Source organism: Homo sapiens, chromosome 11 (genome assembly GCF_000001405.40).
Source record: "Homo sapiens chromosome 11, GRCh38.p14 Primary Assembly".
Taxonomy (NCBI): domain Eukaryota; kingdom Metazoa; phylum Chordata; class Mammalia; order Primates; family Hominidae; genus Homo; species Homo sapiens.
Window position 1 is genome coordinate 15,909,722 of NC_000011.10, and position 17,013 is coordinate 15,926,734.

General features: G+C 46.5%; 1 long non-coding RNA gene across 1 annotated transcript; it reads left to right on the forward strand.

The window, feature by feature from the left end:
• Positions 1-1,211: 1,211 nt before the first annotated feature.
• On the forward strand, positions 1,212-14,695 carry LINC02682 (long intergenic non-protein coding RNA 2682). Its single transcript, NR_183670.1, has 3 exons — positions 1,212-1,349; positions 2,065-2,163; positions 13,563-14,695. It is a non-coding gene; the product is annotated as a long intergenic non-protein coding RNA 2682 (long non-coding RNA).
• The last annotated feature ends 2,318 nt before the right edge of the window (positions 14,696-17,013 follow it).

Genomic DNA, 17,013 nt, shown 5'->3' on the forward strand with positions numbered 1-17,013 from the left:
ATGTTGAGGGAGAGGAAGTCCTGGGTGTCCCCAGGTTTGGGGATAGAGAAGTGCATGATGGTGGTACTTGACTATGCCGGCCCAGTGAGGGCAGGAACTTTGTGTCATTCGCTATTGTGTCCCCAGCACTCATCCAAATGCTGGAACATAGCAGGTGCTCAATAAATATCTATCTAATGAATTGATTAAATAAAAGAAAGAATCTAGAAAGCCCAAGGTTGGGCAAAAGCAGTGAGTTCAAAGCTCAGCACTACCTCTCCTAAGCAGCTCTGTGGCCCAACACAGCCATCAGTAGGGTAAGGAAAGATGATGCCACCATGGAGGAGCTCTTTGGCTGCACCTGTGCTTGTGGGGCTGCGCTCAGAGAGAGTATGGCCAGCTTCAGGGTCCCCAAGGCAGGCAAGGCAGACAGGAGGCGGCTCAGTGACATTACCCACTAATAGGAGGTCCTTATCACCCAGGATGGAGCCGGGTGCTCTACTTAATTTAGGGGAAAGCTACTCTCCGGGAAACAGGTACCAATTTGCAGCAATCACAATAAGAAACATGCTCTCTCTGGCTGATGCAAGCCAACAAGGTAATAGGGCATTGTGCTGTGGGGAGAGATCAAAAGGATTTTTTTTTCCAGGCCCACGGTGGGCACTTAATCCATCTTTCGCTCTCTCTCTCTCTCTCCCTCCATTACGGCCGTGGATGTACTATTTACAGGACCTACATTAGCTGCCTTTTCAGATATCGCACTTCCTCAAAACCACTTCAGAAGGAAAGTGAATTAGAAATGAATTTGAGACATATGAGCGGCTTTCACTGCCTCCTCCCTGCTCCTGGCCAGCAGCCTGCGGAGCTGGGACCCACACTCTCCCAGCACTGGGTGACACCGTCCCCCAAAGTCTGTGGACACACTGAACCCGCCCATGGGGCTGGTGTGGAGCCCCGAGGCCAAGGGTGAGTGCAGGGCAAAGTGTGGGCGAGGAATTAGAGCAGGAAAGGCTCACACTGGGCAGAGGCAGAGGTCGGAAGAGCGGCTCAAAGAACCAGATCCCGGGAGGTGGTCATTTTGGACAGCCCTCTGCCTTCTGTAAGGCCCCCATCAGGGACAGAGGCCCAGGCTCCCAAATGGGCCATCCACTTATAGCTGTCCAGGCTGCCTCACTCCTGCCATGGTCCCTCCCTGACTTTCTGGGGGCCTAGGCGCTGTGACTAGTTCCGGCAGTTGCCGGACGCCATGTTGGTGAAGCGCCGGGGCTGCTAATGCTCCCTCCCCTCTTCCTCTTTGGCTCTCTCTCTCTCTTTTTCCAGACACCTTAAGGAATTCAACAACCCCTCCCCTGCACACAGGCTTCTTCCAGGTGTGAAATTCCATGAAGGGCAGAGGGAAGGCAGGCATGTGGGAGTTTTCTGTCCCTTGAGTAGGAGAAAGTTTCAGCACAGGAGAACCTGCAGTCAGAAATCCCCTAGCTTGGGCTCCTGCTTGTATAGAGGAAAAAATCTGTGAACAAAGTGACTCCTAGAATTCCTAAAACTAGGACTAGAACCTGACATTTCTGACCCACAACCAAATGCTTTTGCCTGTGTTTGATGAGTTTAAATCAAAGTGGTACAACTAGAAAGAAACTTGGACTTCATCTAGGCTGAGATTTTGGACGTGAAGTTGGAGCCATGGAGGGAAGAAGGGAATCCTCTCCCACTCCAGCTCCCTTTAAATCGTCTTCTTTATTGGGATTTCCCCTAAGAGTCTGGAAGTGAATGAACTATTTCAAGAAGGGGAGAAGCCAAAGGCACACCCCAGGCCATGGGCCTCCTTTTCCACTGCTGGGTTGATGTCTGTGGCAGGCAGGCTCTATAAAGGCCCCTAGTGATCACTGCCTCCTGGAATCTGTGCCCTAGTAATCCCCTCCCCTCGAGTGTGGGCTGGACCTAGAGACTCACTTCTAACAGATAGAACATGGCAAAAATGACGGACTGTCACTCCAAGATTAGGTTACCCAAAGATTCTACTTCTATCTTGCTCACCCTGTCTTACTTGATCTCACTCTCTCCACCTCTCTCTCTGAGGGAAGCCAGATGCCATGTTGCAAGATTTCCTCTGGAGAGGGCCTCTTGGCAAGGAACTGATGTCTCTGGCCAGCAGCCAGCGAGGACCTAAGATCTGTCAACAGCCATGTGAGTGAGCTCTGAAGCAGATTCCCCAGAGTCAGGTTGACGATGACTGCAGCCCTGGCTGATACCTTGACAGCATCCTTGTGAGAGAACTCGAAACCTTGGGAGGACACAGCTAAGCTGTGCCTGGCTTCCTGACCCACAGAAACTGTGTGATGATAATACATGCTTGGGGTAATTTGTCACACTGCAGTAGATAATGAATACAGGCCTTTCTGGAAGGGTGTTTTTCATGAGCAGGGACAGCCATGAAATTGCCACACTCTGGTGTTAAACTCATGTCAGGAGACCCAGGGTCCATTTTTGGCTCTGCCATTAATTCACTGTATGGCCTTGGTCAAGACCTTAAACATTTATGGGCCTTAGTTTCTCCCAATGCTCAACTAGGGAGGACTTCATGATGGCTCCAATTGTATGTGACTGGAGAACTAGGAAAGGGAAGTTTCCATGCCTGAGATGACTGCTGACAGTCCTGAGAAAGGAGACAAAGGGACAGATGCCTGATGGGCCCTGACCATCCCTTTTGCTCTTTTCCCTAGCCCTGAACCGCATGGCATGAGGCATGGCCTCAGTCTTCAGTGACATCCTCTGACCTCAGAGGCCCTGGGTCTCAAGACCTGACAGGATGAAACTCAAGACACTGGCAGCTTCCTTGGGAGGAAGAGAACTGCCCTCCCCGCCCCACAGACTCTGTGCCCAGCATGTACCCTGCCTTCTGCCCCAAAGAAACCTTAATTGGTCTTCTCCAGCTTTCTGTCCTCTCAAGGTCCCACAGGGACTCCTAGCTCAACCCTCCACCCCCAGGTGGAAAACCTCCTCAGGGGACCTGAGTGCCCAGAGAAAGTTTCAGAGGCAAACACCCACCTCTTCCTTTCCACAGACCCCTAGCACCAGCACAGGCCCCTGCAGAGTGACAGGGCCCCAAGACCTTCCCCTCTGTAGCCCAGGTGAAGAGCAGGTGCTCTTCCCTCCACACCAGGCCTAGGATGGTCCCCAAGGTTCCACTGCCCTCCCTTGAGCAGCAGGAAAGCCTGGGAAAAGACAGGCAGCTGCACCACTCCTGGGGGATGAAAACAAGCCCAAATAAGGGTCCATTTATACCAACATTCCTTCAGGCTTCAAGGGAATGCCAGACCAGGGCAGTCTCCCTGCTGTGGCCTCGCCCTTACTGGGGCCAGGCCAGGCCTGAGTCTCTAGGCCGGGAAACGCCGTCTTGCGCCCCAGCAGGCAGGACTGCGGTGAGCAAACTCTCTCTTCTTTGAGTGTGCTTTTTCCTCTCACTGGGTCTCCCGGGAAGTTCCACTGAAGGTCAGCACAAGTTAGGGGTCCCTCAGGGGTTCCTGAAGCCCTGACAGGCAGTGTCTGTAGCTTCTGTGATCACTGCAGAGGGCTCCTACCACCTTTTATGCTCTGGCTGCCTCAGCCACCCTTCTCTTTCGCTCACAAGCTATCCAATCCTCCTAACTCAGAATTTCTCAACCTCAGCACCTCTGACATTTTGGGCTGGCCAATTATTTGTTGTGGGAGCTGCCCTGTACATTACAGATTGTAGAGGAGCATCCCTGGCCTCTACCCACTAGATGTCAGTAGCACACCCCCACCCCACTGATTATAACACCCAAAATATCTCCAGATATGCCAAATACCACCCTCAGTGGAAAGCCACTGTCCTAAATTTAAAGGGCACTGATCAAGTGTTCTAGCTGCAGGGCTTTGTGAGAAGAAAGGCAAGTGGCAGAGAGGAAGGGATCCTCACTGGACCCATGGCCGCAAACCCACACACTCCTAGCTCTCTCCCTGTCTCTCTCACTCCTTCTCTCTCTCTCTCTCACACACACACACACACACACACACATACACAATAACTTGAAAGGCTGGAATGTGTGTCTCTGTTGTATGAATGAAGACCAGAAGAAGGTTAAGTGGCTTGCCCCAAACCACACAGTTAGGCAGAGGCAGAGGTGGGACTCAAGCTAGGCCCATAGGCCCTGACCCATACTGTGCACTATATTGCAGCCCCCCTTCTACAGATGAGAAACTCATGGCCCTTGGACCCTTCTGGAGCCTGAGAAGAGACTGCACCTCCCTTGCTGCTCGTGCTCCCCAGGGGTGTTGGTGTCTGCCGCCTACTTCTAGTGCCAGGCCCCCAGCATTCTCCAGCTCAGTCTGGGTTTCCTGAACCCCCTTGATTGAGTTGTACCTTCCAGTTTCTGAATTGTCCTGATCTTGGGTGATCGATTTGCATACTGTATCGATCTCAAGGGCTGTGTAATATGTTTGATTTGTGGCACTTTGCATAATTTTCTGATTAAGTTGCTTATTTAACCTATTGACCTTTTCTCTTAATTAGAGTATCTGGGTACTGCAAATGTTGAGTAGTAATCAAGCTTCTCGTTTCCCTGAGTGGAATCGCGTCCCTGCCACTTCCCTGCTTCTTCATGATGCTGGCTTCCTTTGGAGTGGGGCACATTGAGCCAGCTGGCCCCCACCTTAACCGAGAGGAGGAAGAGGGGTGCAAGTGGGGCCAGGTCTTTTCTGGTCCCTGCTGTTCAGAAGTTCAGGACCAGGCCAAGACAAGGGACAGCATTGTTTAGAATAAGTACAGTAGTCTTGTCTTATCTCCAGTTTTGCTATCCAAGGTTTCAGTTATTCATGGTCAACCATGGTCTGAAAATAGGTGAGTACAATACAATAAGAATTTTAAGAGAGACAGCATATTCACATAATTTTATCACAATATAATTTTTCCATTGTATTACTAGTTATTGTTCATTTCTAACTGGTCCTAATTTAGAAATTAAACTTCATCATAGATATGTATGTATGTGTGGGAAAAAAATAAAACAGATGCTCCTCTACTTAAGATGGGGTTACAGTTTCTACTGACTGTATATCACTTTCACACTATGGTCAAGTTAAAAAATCCTAAGTTGAACAATCGTAAGTTAGGGACAATCTCTATATACATACAGGGTTTGGAACTGTCTTTGGTTTCAAGCATCCACTGTGGTCTTGGAACGCAACACCCGAGGATAAAGGAGGACGACTGTATTGACAGTTGAGTGGATGAATCAAGACAGGGGTGTGGCCCAGAAGTTTGGACACCCTGACAGTTAGCTATGGTTTGTAACAAACCACCCCAAAATGTAGTGACCTAAAACAACACCCATCTATTATTTCTTATCAAACTGTGGGTTGGCTAGACATTTTTGAAGATCTGGGTCAGACTGGGATGATTTGGGCTGACTTCACTTATGCATCTGCAGTGAGTTAGTGATTTGCAGGGACCTGACTGGTCTACCCCTCAGCTGGAATGACTGTGGTCTACTCTTCCGGTCTCTCATGTCCCTCTAGCAAGTTAATCTGGGCATGTTCTCATGAGACTATAAAAGAGCAAGGATCAAGGTGGCAAGAGAGCAAGCCCTAGTGCACAGAGCTTGTGAAGCTTCTGCAGGCATCACATTTGTTCCCATACCATTGGCCAAAGCAAGTGATCTAGAATCAAGGGGTATGGCGGAGCACCTTGCCCACAATAGGAGTAAAGAAACAGGTCTGGCAAGCCTTTCTGTCTGCCTCAGCATAAGAGGGACCCTAATTAAGTGTTGAGAGTCTTGACACTAGTGCACAACACAGGTGAGCCTCCTCTTCTTGCTCCATCCATCTGAGCACCCGCCCCCAAACTCTAAAGCTGAATGCTGTGAGCTTAGGCTCCAGGGAAATGAGGGTTCAGGGTACAGTTCACTACTGCCTCTATTTTGGCATCTACTTCTTGGAGGACCTCAATTAAGATACCCTTTTGGAGCTGTTACAGACCTGCTTGTTTTCTAGTCATAGTGGGGCAGGAGAAGACAGAGAGGCTGTCTCAAGCTCTTGGTGGCTGCGATCACTGTCCTCTTTCCTAGTGGGGTATGTCATCTTTGCTCTTGCTTCTCTGGAATAAGTGGAATACAGCTTCTGCCTCCAAGGGATCTATGCAGGATGGGGCATAGCTCTCTCCTACTCTCTGACATCTAACCCTGTCTGAAAGGGGAAGAATTGGCCCCATGGAGGACCCCAGATTATTTTCAGAAATCCCCTTCACCAGCATCCAAATACCTCCTCTCCCCTGTTTGGTAGAATGTCCATTGTCTGCCAAAATCCACTCTCCTCTCCTTTCATAGAAAGAGCTTTTTGTTTGTTTTGTTTTACAACTTTATTGAAGTATTAATTACATACAACAATCTGCACATATACAATAAAGTACACAATTTGATGAGTTGGATGCATGGACACACCCATGAAACTACTACCACAATCAAAACAGTGATCATAGCCATCACTCCAGAAGTTTCTTTCTGCCCTTTTGTAGTTCTTCCCTTCTCCTCAGCCTCCCTCATGCCCAGGAAGTCACTAATACGCTTTTTTGTTACTAGACATTGGATTGAATTTTCTAACATCTTATATAATTGGAATAATGCAATATGTACTCTTTTTGGTACACTCACCATAATTATTTTGAAGTTCGTCCCTCTTGTTGCGTATACCAAGAGTTCATTCTTCTTTATCATGGAGTAGTATTCCATTATGTGAATATACCACAATTTGCTTTATTCATTCACTTGTTGAAGGAAAACTTGAATTATTTCCAGTTTGGAGCTTGCTATGGTTTGAATGTTCAAATTCAAATGTTGAAACTTAATCCCCAATGCAATAGTTTTAAGAGATGGGACCTTTAGCAAGGGATTAGGTTATGAAAGCTCCACCATCATGAATGGGATTAGTACCCTTATATAAGGATACACAGCGTTCACCCCCTTCCACCATGTGAGGATGGAACAAGAAGTGTGGTCTGTGAAGCAGAGAGCCCACACCAGACACTGAATCTGCTGGTGCCTTGATCTTGGACTTCCCAGCCTCCAGAGCTGTGAGAAATAAATTTCTGTCATTTGTAAGCCACTCAGTTTAGTATATTTTGCTGTAGCAGTCCAAATGGACTAAGGCAGGGCTATTACAAATAAAGTTGCTATATGTATATACAAGTAGACATATGCTTCCTTCTCTTGGGTAAATATGTAGAATTAGATTGTCTGGATCATGCAGTAGCTGTATGTTTATCCTTGAAAGAAACTGCCAAGATACTGTTTTAAATGGCTATACATTTTACATTCCCACAAGTGGTGTATGAGAATTCTAGTTGCTTTATATTCTCACCAACACATGGAGCGAACAGCCTTTTTAATTTTAGCCATCCTAGTGGTAGAGTAGTAACATCTCATTGCAGGTTTAATTCATATGTGTATTTGCCATCCATCTATATTATCTTCTCTTAAACTGGGCATATGATTGTTGAACTACAGACTCTATTTTTCAACCTCCCTTGCAGCTATTTGTGGTCATATGATTAGTAAAATATGAAAGAAAATTATTTTTTCACTCATGCTTGCTTAAATGAAAATTGCTTGCCCTCAATTTGTACTTTGTATCAATCAGCTTTTGCTGTAATAATACTGCATAAAATCACTCAAAACTCAGAAGCAAATAAACAAAAGTATCTATTTCTTATTCACAGGTCTGCAGGCTTTTGAGTAGCTGCTATGTTCCTGGTTAGGGGTTGAGTTCAGGTCAGTTCCACATGTTTCATTCTAGCACCACAGCTCCAGAAATAGCAGCTACCTTGGGCAGGTTTTGCTCATATCTGAGGTCAGAAGCTTCCAAAGGATCAAACAGAAACTCATGATACCTCTTCGGGCCTAGATGTAGAGCTAGAGCAGGGAAGTTTACCCAACCTGTTAAGCTGAACCAAAAGGAAGTTAAAATTTGTTAAATAATATATAATCTACCAATGCACTCTTCCTCTTCCCTTTAGCTAGAACATGGATGTGTTTGTAATCCACTTTTGGCCCTATGGGTTATCATTCTAAGGGATGGTGGGGCATCAGGATGGAGGGAACCTAGGTCCTTGAGAGTTCTTGTGGAGTAGAACCACCTGCTGACCTGGATGGTGATGCTCACTTGATGATTGTTAAGTTAGAATAAGATAACCTCCATCTTTTTAATGACACTTTATTTTTAACCCTCTTTGTTTCAGCAGCCTAGATGCTACTCTAGTATGTGCTCCAGCTGTTTCTTTTCCAGCGCAAGGAAAATTTTTGTTTTGCTTTGCTTTAATCTCTTTTCAGGTGGAAAAAAAAAATGCCTAGGAAGCATTCTTTCATGTCTAGCCACCCAGAAGAGGGAAGGTCCTAGGGTCAAAATGCAAAGGTTAATACTTCACACTACCATCTTGCCGCAGAAGCTACTCCCCTGGGTGTTCCCAAGAATCCTGGGAACCAACTTGCCATATTCAGAACACTTCCTTCCCTGGTCTTCAGTCCACATGTTCACTTTCCTCTTAAACAGAGCTCCTTGCCTCCTCTCTTCACTGAGTTCTCTCTTCCCCAGGCTTATGGCTGGTCTAGCAGAGCCAGGTGCCAGGCCTGGCGGGAGCATCCTTGTCTCTTAACTGACAGTGCCTCCACCTGGCCTTGCAGCTCCACTCGACAAATACTAAATAACAGGCTCTGGCATCTCCTGAAGCTCTGCACTCATTAACACACTGGGAGGTAAGTGCAGGCAACCAGGGAGAATTTACTCTGCAGCAACAGGCTTCTCATATAGAAGCCAAACACACCCCAGCAGGTATCAAGTACAGAGGTTGGGGGCCTCCAAATGCTGCCAAAATTGTTCCATTCTTCCTCCCCATAAAGCCAGCCTTTTCCTCTCCTGCCTGATGTCTTCTACAGCTCTGGCCCCTTTCTGATACCTCTTTTGCAGGTGTAGCTGTCAAGCTCTTCTCCAGGGGAGTTTTCTAAGAGCCTGGAAAACTGCCAGCCTCATCTGCCACTTCCCCTCTTCCCTGCACACACTCTCTGGCCACTAGCAACTCCACCCCGTTCTATTTAGCCCCCAGATCTCACTGCTTGCTCTTCTGTCATTCTGCAATGCCAGTACCTTCCTCTTCACCTGGCAAACTCCTATCCATCCTTCAGGTCCTGATCAAATGACCCCTCCTCCAGGAAGCCTTTCTCTAGATTTCCAAACACAGTGACTATTTTGTCCTGTAGTTTCCACTGATTGACAACCATCTTTCTGTTCTAGTTTCAGCTTCCCTGCACTATTGTTAACTATGTATCTGTTTCCTTCCACCTACCAAGCTGTATGTACCTTGAATAAATGGTCAAGGCGATTTTTATATTTTGGTCTCCAGCGCCTGGCATAGTGTCAGACAGATTGCAAGTGTTCAGTCAGTATTTGCTGATGACTGGAGGGAGGAATGAATGAGCAAAAATAGACAAATGAATAAATAAATAGGTATATAGAAGCCTGCTCAGATGTCTTTTCCCCTTCTAGCACTTATTTCTGTTGATTGTGTATTATACATTCATTTTTTATCTTCTCTTCCACTCTACTGTTAGCACCAGAAAGACACAGGCATCTGTTTTATTTACAGCTGTATCGTCAGTGTCCAGCTCAGAGCCTGGGCCTTAAAAGGTACACAATAAACAACTGTTTGTCTAAATTAAAAAATAAAAGATGACTACATTGGAGTACACATAAAAGCATGAGTATATACCAGGATAAAACCAAGAAGATCCAGTCAGTTTTGTAAACTAGAGAGACTTGGGAAATTCTTCTTGGGGAAAGACTGCTCTTCTCTTGGGAGAAAGAAAACTATAACAGGCCTCTCAGTTTTATAAAGGCAAGGCTGCAGGCTTACTCTAAAAGTGCATGTTAAGGAAATTCAGGGCCAAACTTAAGAGTCTGCCCTATGAATAAGGGCGTGTATGTATTTGTACCTTAATTGTATGTATGTATGTATGTATGTATGTATGTATGTATGTATGTATGTATTTATTTTGAGACAGCGTCTCCCTCATGTAACCCAGGCTGGAGTGCAGTGGCATGATCTTGGCTCACTGCAACCTCCACCTGCTGGGTTCAAGCCATTTTCCTGCCTCAGCCTCCTGAGTAGCTGGGATTACAGGTGCCCACCACCATACCCAGCTAATTTTTGTACTTTTAGTAGAGACGGGGTTTCACCATGTTGGCCAGACTGGTCTTGAACTCCTGACCTTAAGTGATTTGCCCACCTCAGACTCCCAAAGTGCTGGGATTACAGGCATGAGCCACTGCGCCCTGCCATTAATTTTTTTTTAAAATATTAAAAGAGTGGCAGTTTTTCATTTTTGTTCTGTTTTCTTCTTCCTGATGAGTAGGAAGGTAGAAGTTCCATGGCTTTGGGCCCAGATGAGAGAAGACCCTGAGTTGAGTGGAAGCAGCAGTGCCCCTCCTTGGCCCCTGCCTGGAGATGGAGGCCACTAGGACCTGGAGAAGGAGGTGAAAGGGCTCCTTGTGATGGGCCATAAATAGTAGGCCTTGGGAACTTTGTCATAAAAGGTGTAATTTTAAGTTTTCCTTCTCTGTGTTGCCATTCTCTTAGAATATCCTCAATACAGTCCATGACTCATGACAACTTTGTGTCACTGGAGACGTGGAGAGTAAAGGAAGCTCCTGTGTCCATACTTGGGGCAAACACGGGGAGAAAAGGGAAGGGTCCACAGAAGCAGGGACAGCGATAGAGCATGCAGAAGAAGCCCAGGCCTATAGCTCACAGACAGAGGTGTCGAGCAGCAATGGCTGCAGGTCAACACTCCCCAGAAAGCTTCAGAAAATTCAGGTGGGGCTGAGATGCCCTCTGGTCAGGCATGGTGAAGGCTCTGGCATCATATTTGAATGGTAAAGGAAAGAGGGGCCACAAGAACCTGGAGAATGGAAGAAAGGAAGGAATGGAGGGAGGGAGGAAAATAAATGGATGGATGGATGGGTGGGTGGATAGATAGCTGGATGGGAGGGTGGGTGGATGGATGGGTGGGTGGATGGATGGGTGGGTAGTTGGATGGATAGATAACTAGCTACCTACCCACAGGTAATAGACCCACGCAGAGTGACTGGCCACTTGGATGTCTGAGTTAAAAGGAAATAGGTGAATGCATTACTCATCTGGAACTCACTTTCCTGCCTAGAATCCTCAAACACAAGCCTGTCTCTTCTGCTTCCTGGCCCTCTGCCCTGGCAACCCCTATCCCAGGCAGACAGGGATTGTGCCTCAATCAGCCCAGGGGAGGAGAGCTCTAGTTAAAATATTCAACTGCAACAGTTAAGAATGCACACTGATTAGCAGAGTGCATTCCAGGCCCCGCTACTGCACTCCACAGCAATAGCCTGATTAGTGAAGGAGGCCGTTCAATCAGCACAGCCCGCAGCACTCAGGGCCCTGGCACTGCCAGCTCCTCACAGGCTGGCCCTCGAGGGCGGATGGGGCAGGCAAAGGGATGTGGCTGTTGCTGACTCCTAGGCAGTCATCTTTGCTTCCAGCCTTCTGCCCACCCCTCTGAGACCAGGACCCTCAGAGTCTTCCAGGCACCTACCATTTAACCACTTAATTATCACAGCACTTTGAAACTGATATTAATGCTATTCCCATTTTATAGATGAGAAGACTGAGGCCATAGTACTAGAATTCAAACCCAGGTCCAAAGTCCGCATTTAATAGTACCTGCTAGAGTGAAGGAGCTCAGTCAGGCACTGGCAGGGGCCCTTTAAATCCAAAAGGCTGGCCAGGTGGGGTGAGGCTGATGGGGATGGGATTATTCCTTTTGTGGGCTTGTCTTGGCTTCTGCAAAGCAGAAGACCCCACAGACCTCCATTCCTGGACTTACCTACAGCTCCCTGGACACACCATTAGTCCCTCAGACCACAAGAACTGCCCCTTCCCGCTACCCTACCAGCTGACCTCACAGCCCCAACGTCCTTTTGCAGCCGTCATGTCCAAAGCCAGGAACCCAGCCTCCTGGTTTCCCTGAGCTGGCATCAGTGGCTCTAGGGGACCCCTTCATATCACAACTCCTCTTCTTTGTGAGAGCTTAACAAGGTGCTACAAAGCTTCCAATGACTCAGAACATAGGTGAGGGTGGCCAAGTCTCATTCCTACTGCTCCTGCCTCTCCCAATTCCTAGTCTGGCCCAGAAGACCCTCTTCAGTCTTCCCAGCATCCCCCCCTCCTTTCTTTTCTTTCCTCATACCCTATCTGCATCACTCCCACACCCCACAAATGCTGCAAAACTCACCTAGGCTGCTCACTCTGCCATTCAATTCCCTCCTCTTCCTCCTACCCATCCATGCAATAAACACCAGCTCCTCCTTCAAGACCCAACTTGACAGCCGGGTGCAGTGGCTCACGCTTGTAATCCCAGCACTTTGGGAGGTCGAGGTGGGCAGATCACGAGGTCAGGAGGTTGAGACCATCCTGGCTAACATGGTGAAACCCCGTCTCTACGAGAAAATAGGAAAAATTAGCCGGGCGTGGTGGCGGGCGCCTGTAGTCCCAGCTACTCCGGAGGCTGAGGCAGGAGAATGGTGTGAACCCGGGAGGCAGAGCTTGCAGTGAGCCGAGATCGTGCCAATGCACTCCAGCCTAGGCGACAGAGCAAGACTCCGTCTCAAAAAAAAAAAAAAGACCCAACTTGAGTATCCTTTTCTTGATGGAGCCCTCTTAACCCCTCTCCTCCACCATCCCAAGACTTAAACAGCTACCCCTCCTGTGGGTTATCCTGGGTCCATTCCATCATCAGAGGTCTGAGAATACCCAACTGTTCTTTTATATTCTCATGTTTGCTCCTCTGCCAGGTTGTCAGAGCTTGAAGGCAAATTATCGGTCTTCTTCCTCTTTATTCCTCCAGCACCCAGCTGGGAGTAGGTACTTAATGATGTTGGATTAATCACTGATTCTCAAAACCCTTCTGTCCAGCCTAGCACACTGCCCGGGACATTGTATTAAATCATTGATTAATAAGTGAATGTGGGTGGGTAGGGACTGGGGAAAAGCCCATTGTTCAAGATAGGTTCAAGTTTTTGCAGAGTAAGCATGAGCCCTGAGTCCCTGGCAGTGAGACATTTCAAAAGCCTCCTCTGACCCACTGAATGCAGTAGATTCAATGTTGCTTCAGAAGAGCTTTGTGGTTGAGGCTGGGCACGGTGGCTCACGCCTATAATTCCAAACTTTGGGAGGCCGAGGCGGGTGGGTCACTTGAGGTCAGGAGTTCGAGACTAACCTGGCCAACATGGTGAAACCCCATCTCTATTAAAAGTACAAAAATTAGCTGGGTGTGGTGACACACGTCTGTAGTCCCAGCTACTCAGGAGGCTGAGGTGGGAGAATCCCTTGAACCCAGGAGGTGGAGGTTGCAGTGAGCCGAGAATGTGCCATTCCACTCTAGCTTGGGTGACAGAGTGAGGCCCTGCCTTATTTAAAAAAAAAAAAAGCCTTCATGGTTTCATGGTTTCATGTGGAACCCACACTGCTTTTACTTTTTACTTGTCTCCAGGCAGAAGGGACAATGAATTGTGACTCGGAAATTAATCAGATGAGACCTGATGACTGAAGTACATCACAGAGCTAGGAAGAGAGATTACTAAGCAACACGGTGAGAGCTCCATCCTCTGGGTATTCAGCCAACTACAGATCACTCAAAGGCAGACATTCTGGGATCTTCCATCCATCAAGCTGAACCAGAGTACAAGGCCAAAACCAGTGAATGACAAAGCAACCCCATGCCCAGCTTAAGAGTTTCCTCAGAGAGTTTGTCTTGTAGGAGTCATTAGACACTAATTTGATTCTATTTGCATGTGCACACCCTGCCCTTTGCCAAACAGGGAGAGAATCACACTTGAGAGCTAGCGCTCAGCTCAGTCTCTTCTCCACACCACGCTAGTGCACCAAGAACAAGGTTATAGGTGTGGCAAAAAAACAAACCCTGCCAATGCTCTAAGTATATGTTTGATGTAATCTTATTTCTCATAAAATTAAGAGGATAATATTTTTAGGTGATGCAGAGTATGAGACTGTCATTAGGTTACTCTGAATCTCTTTCTCTCTCTCTCTTCATGGTAAAAATTAAGTTCCATTAGGAAAATTCTTCCTCCCCTTCCTTCCTCCCATTGGTCTTTCCTCCTAAGATCCAGGTAGCTCTGAGAAAGTTTGTTTCATCTATGCGTTGGCCTGGGAATCCTCCTCTTGTTAATCTACACAAATAAAATCATCTTAAAGATCGAAAGCTTTTGTACAAAAATGTCCTTCATAGTGTTTTCTATATTAGCAAAATGTTGTACAAATAATACATAATCTAACATCTTAAAAAAGGGGAAATGATTAAATAAATTATAGCACAAAAATTCTGTGAGATATATAGGCGATGATTAGATGACAATGTCAGGTCAGTTCAATAAATACATGTTCATTAGTTCCCATATGCCAGGCACTGAAATAGGCATCTGTCTTATATGTATACATATGTAACAAACCTGCACGTTGTGCACATGTACCCTAGAACTTAAAGTATAATTTAAAAATATATATATATAAAGAAAGATAAACAAGATATGGACCCCTAAAGGAAACTCACTATTTTCAGATTGTAAGAGAAAACATTTGGATATATTAAATTGTAAAAGAACAATACATGAACTATGCTGGAAAATGGTTTTTTTTATATATACACAGTATGTTCTTCACACCGTTACATTTCTCCTAATAACCCCATTAACATAACCCACACTCCCATCTTGCCACTGTGAGATTGTCCTTCACTTCCTATCCGGGGTCAGGAAGAATTGCACTCCCAGGGATGTTCACACATATAATTCAGTCCTGTCATCCTTCTCACCGTGTGTCATCTTGAGCTAGTGTATCAGTGTTTTCAGTAGCCAGAGACTCACTTGCAGCCCATTCAGGGGAAGCCTTGGCCAGATCACTCTGCTAACCATCACTTCCTGCCCCAACATTGTCCCCAGGGCCATCCAAGGAGAAAGAAGTAGAGAACAAGGGCAGTTTGCAGCCTCACAGAGTTGTTATTAGAAACAGGCAGTTTCACATGGCCTCACGCAGACCTACACTGCCCCTGTCCATGGCTGTGATAGCATCTTAGATAGATGGTTCTAGGGAAAGGAAAGGATGAAAGAGTGGGCCTCTCAATCATGATTGCCACCAACTTGGGCCTGAGCTCTTTACTGTCACTAGCAGAGAGATTAATCCCAAAGAAAATTCTTAGGGCTGGGCTGGGTGGTCAAGAGAGGCTCCTGAGCCAGCCTCACACTGTGCCCCACGACCTTTCCCCAGGGCAGTATCAGCTGTAATGAGGAGCGATGGCCAACAGATCAGTCACCCCTTGCCCTGGTGGGGTTCCCCTTTCCTCCATGGTAATGTAACTTCTGTATTTTAGTATCCTGAAGAAAGACTACATCGCGCATACTCCCCTGCGGGCAGGCAGGATAAGTTCTGGCCAATGGGATGCAAGCAAAATGGTTACAGCTTCCTTAAACCTTTCTTAAAAGGAAGCTGGGATATACCCTTTGCCCTATTTATTTATCCCTTCCTCCATCTTGTTTTCTGGAATGCAGATATGCTGTGTAAAGCTTTAGTTGCCATTTGAATCATGAGAATGAGGACCATATTCTAGAGATGGAGAGGCATGAGCTAGGAGTTGCTTAAGAGGAGCAGAAATGCCTTACCAGCCATGCATAGCTTACCAGGCCCAAGTTGGTGCCAATCACACTTGAGAGGCCCACTGTTTCATCCTTTCCTCTCCCTAGAACCATCCATCTAAGATGCTGTCACAGCCATGGACAGGGGCAGTGCACATCTGTGTGAGGCCATGTGAAGCTGCCTGAGAGCAAAATAACACTTTCTCTTCCTCCTCCTCCTTTTTTATTATTTTAAGCTATCGCTTATTTGGATCTCTGAAATTAGCAGCAGAATCTAATACAGTGTCCCTTCCTCCCCATAATCTCAGTTGGTATCATCTCCAGAAGCTTTCAAAATGGAATATGGTCAGCTTCTCCATCCTTTCTTCCTCTCTCAGTAAGCTCCATAATTCTTATGCTGATTTCTTCATGACCACCTCAGTAACCTTTGAATACTTCATACCAAGGGAAGTGGGAAGTATAACCTCTGTCAAACCAAAAACTTGTGTTATAAACAACCTAAGTATTAAATATAGCAAATGTGATTAACTGTTAGTCATAGGATGATTTTTATTTCTTCCCATTTCTAAATTTTCTTATTTTCTTCAATGAGCATTTATTGCCTTTATAATTAAAAGTAAACAACCTAATAAAAAGATCTGTTATGTCTCAAATCAAAAAATGTAGAAATGCCTCTGAGGATGTGATGGTTAATATTAGATGTCTACTTGATTGGATTGAAGGATGCCTAGATAACTGGTAAATTATTGTTTCTGGGTGTGTCTGTGAGGGTGTTGCCAGAGGAGATGGACATATGAGTCAGTGGATTGGGAGAGGATGACCCACTCTCCCTCAATGCACGTGGGCACCATCCAATCGGCTGCCAGTGCAGCTAGAACAAAGCAGACAGAAGAAGGTGGGATAAGCTGGCTTGCTGAGTCTTCTGGCTTTCATCTTTCTCCTATACTGGATACTTCCTGCCCTTGGACATTAGACTCCAGGCTCTTCAGCCTTTGGACTCTTGGACTTATACTAGTAGTTTGCTGGGGGCTCTCAGGCCTTTGGCCACAGACTAAAGGCTACACTGTTAGCTTCCTTACTTTTGAGGTTTTTGGACTCGGACTGAGCCACAACTCACTTGCTACCTCCTCAGCTTGCAGACGGCCTATCATGGGAATTGTGATCATGTGAGCCAATTCTCTGTAACAAACTCCTTTTCATATGTACATCTATTATATTACTTCTGTCTCTCTGGAGAACCCTGACTAATACAGAAGACAACCCAAAAGTCCAGAGGATAATTGGTATTGTCAGAGT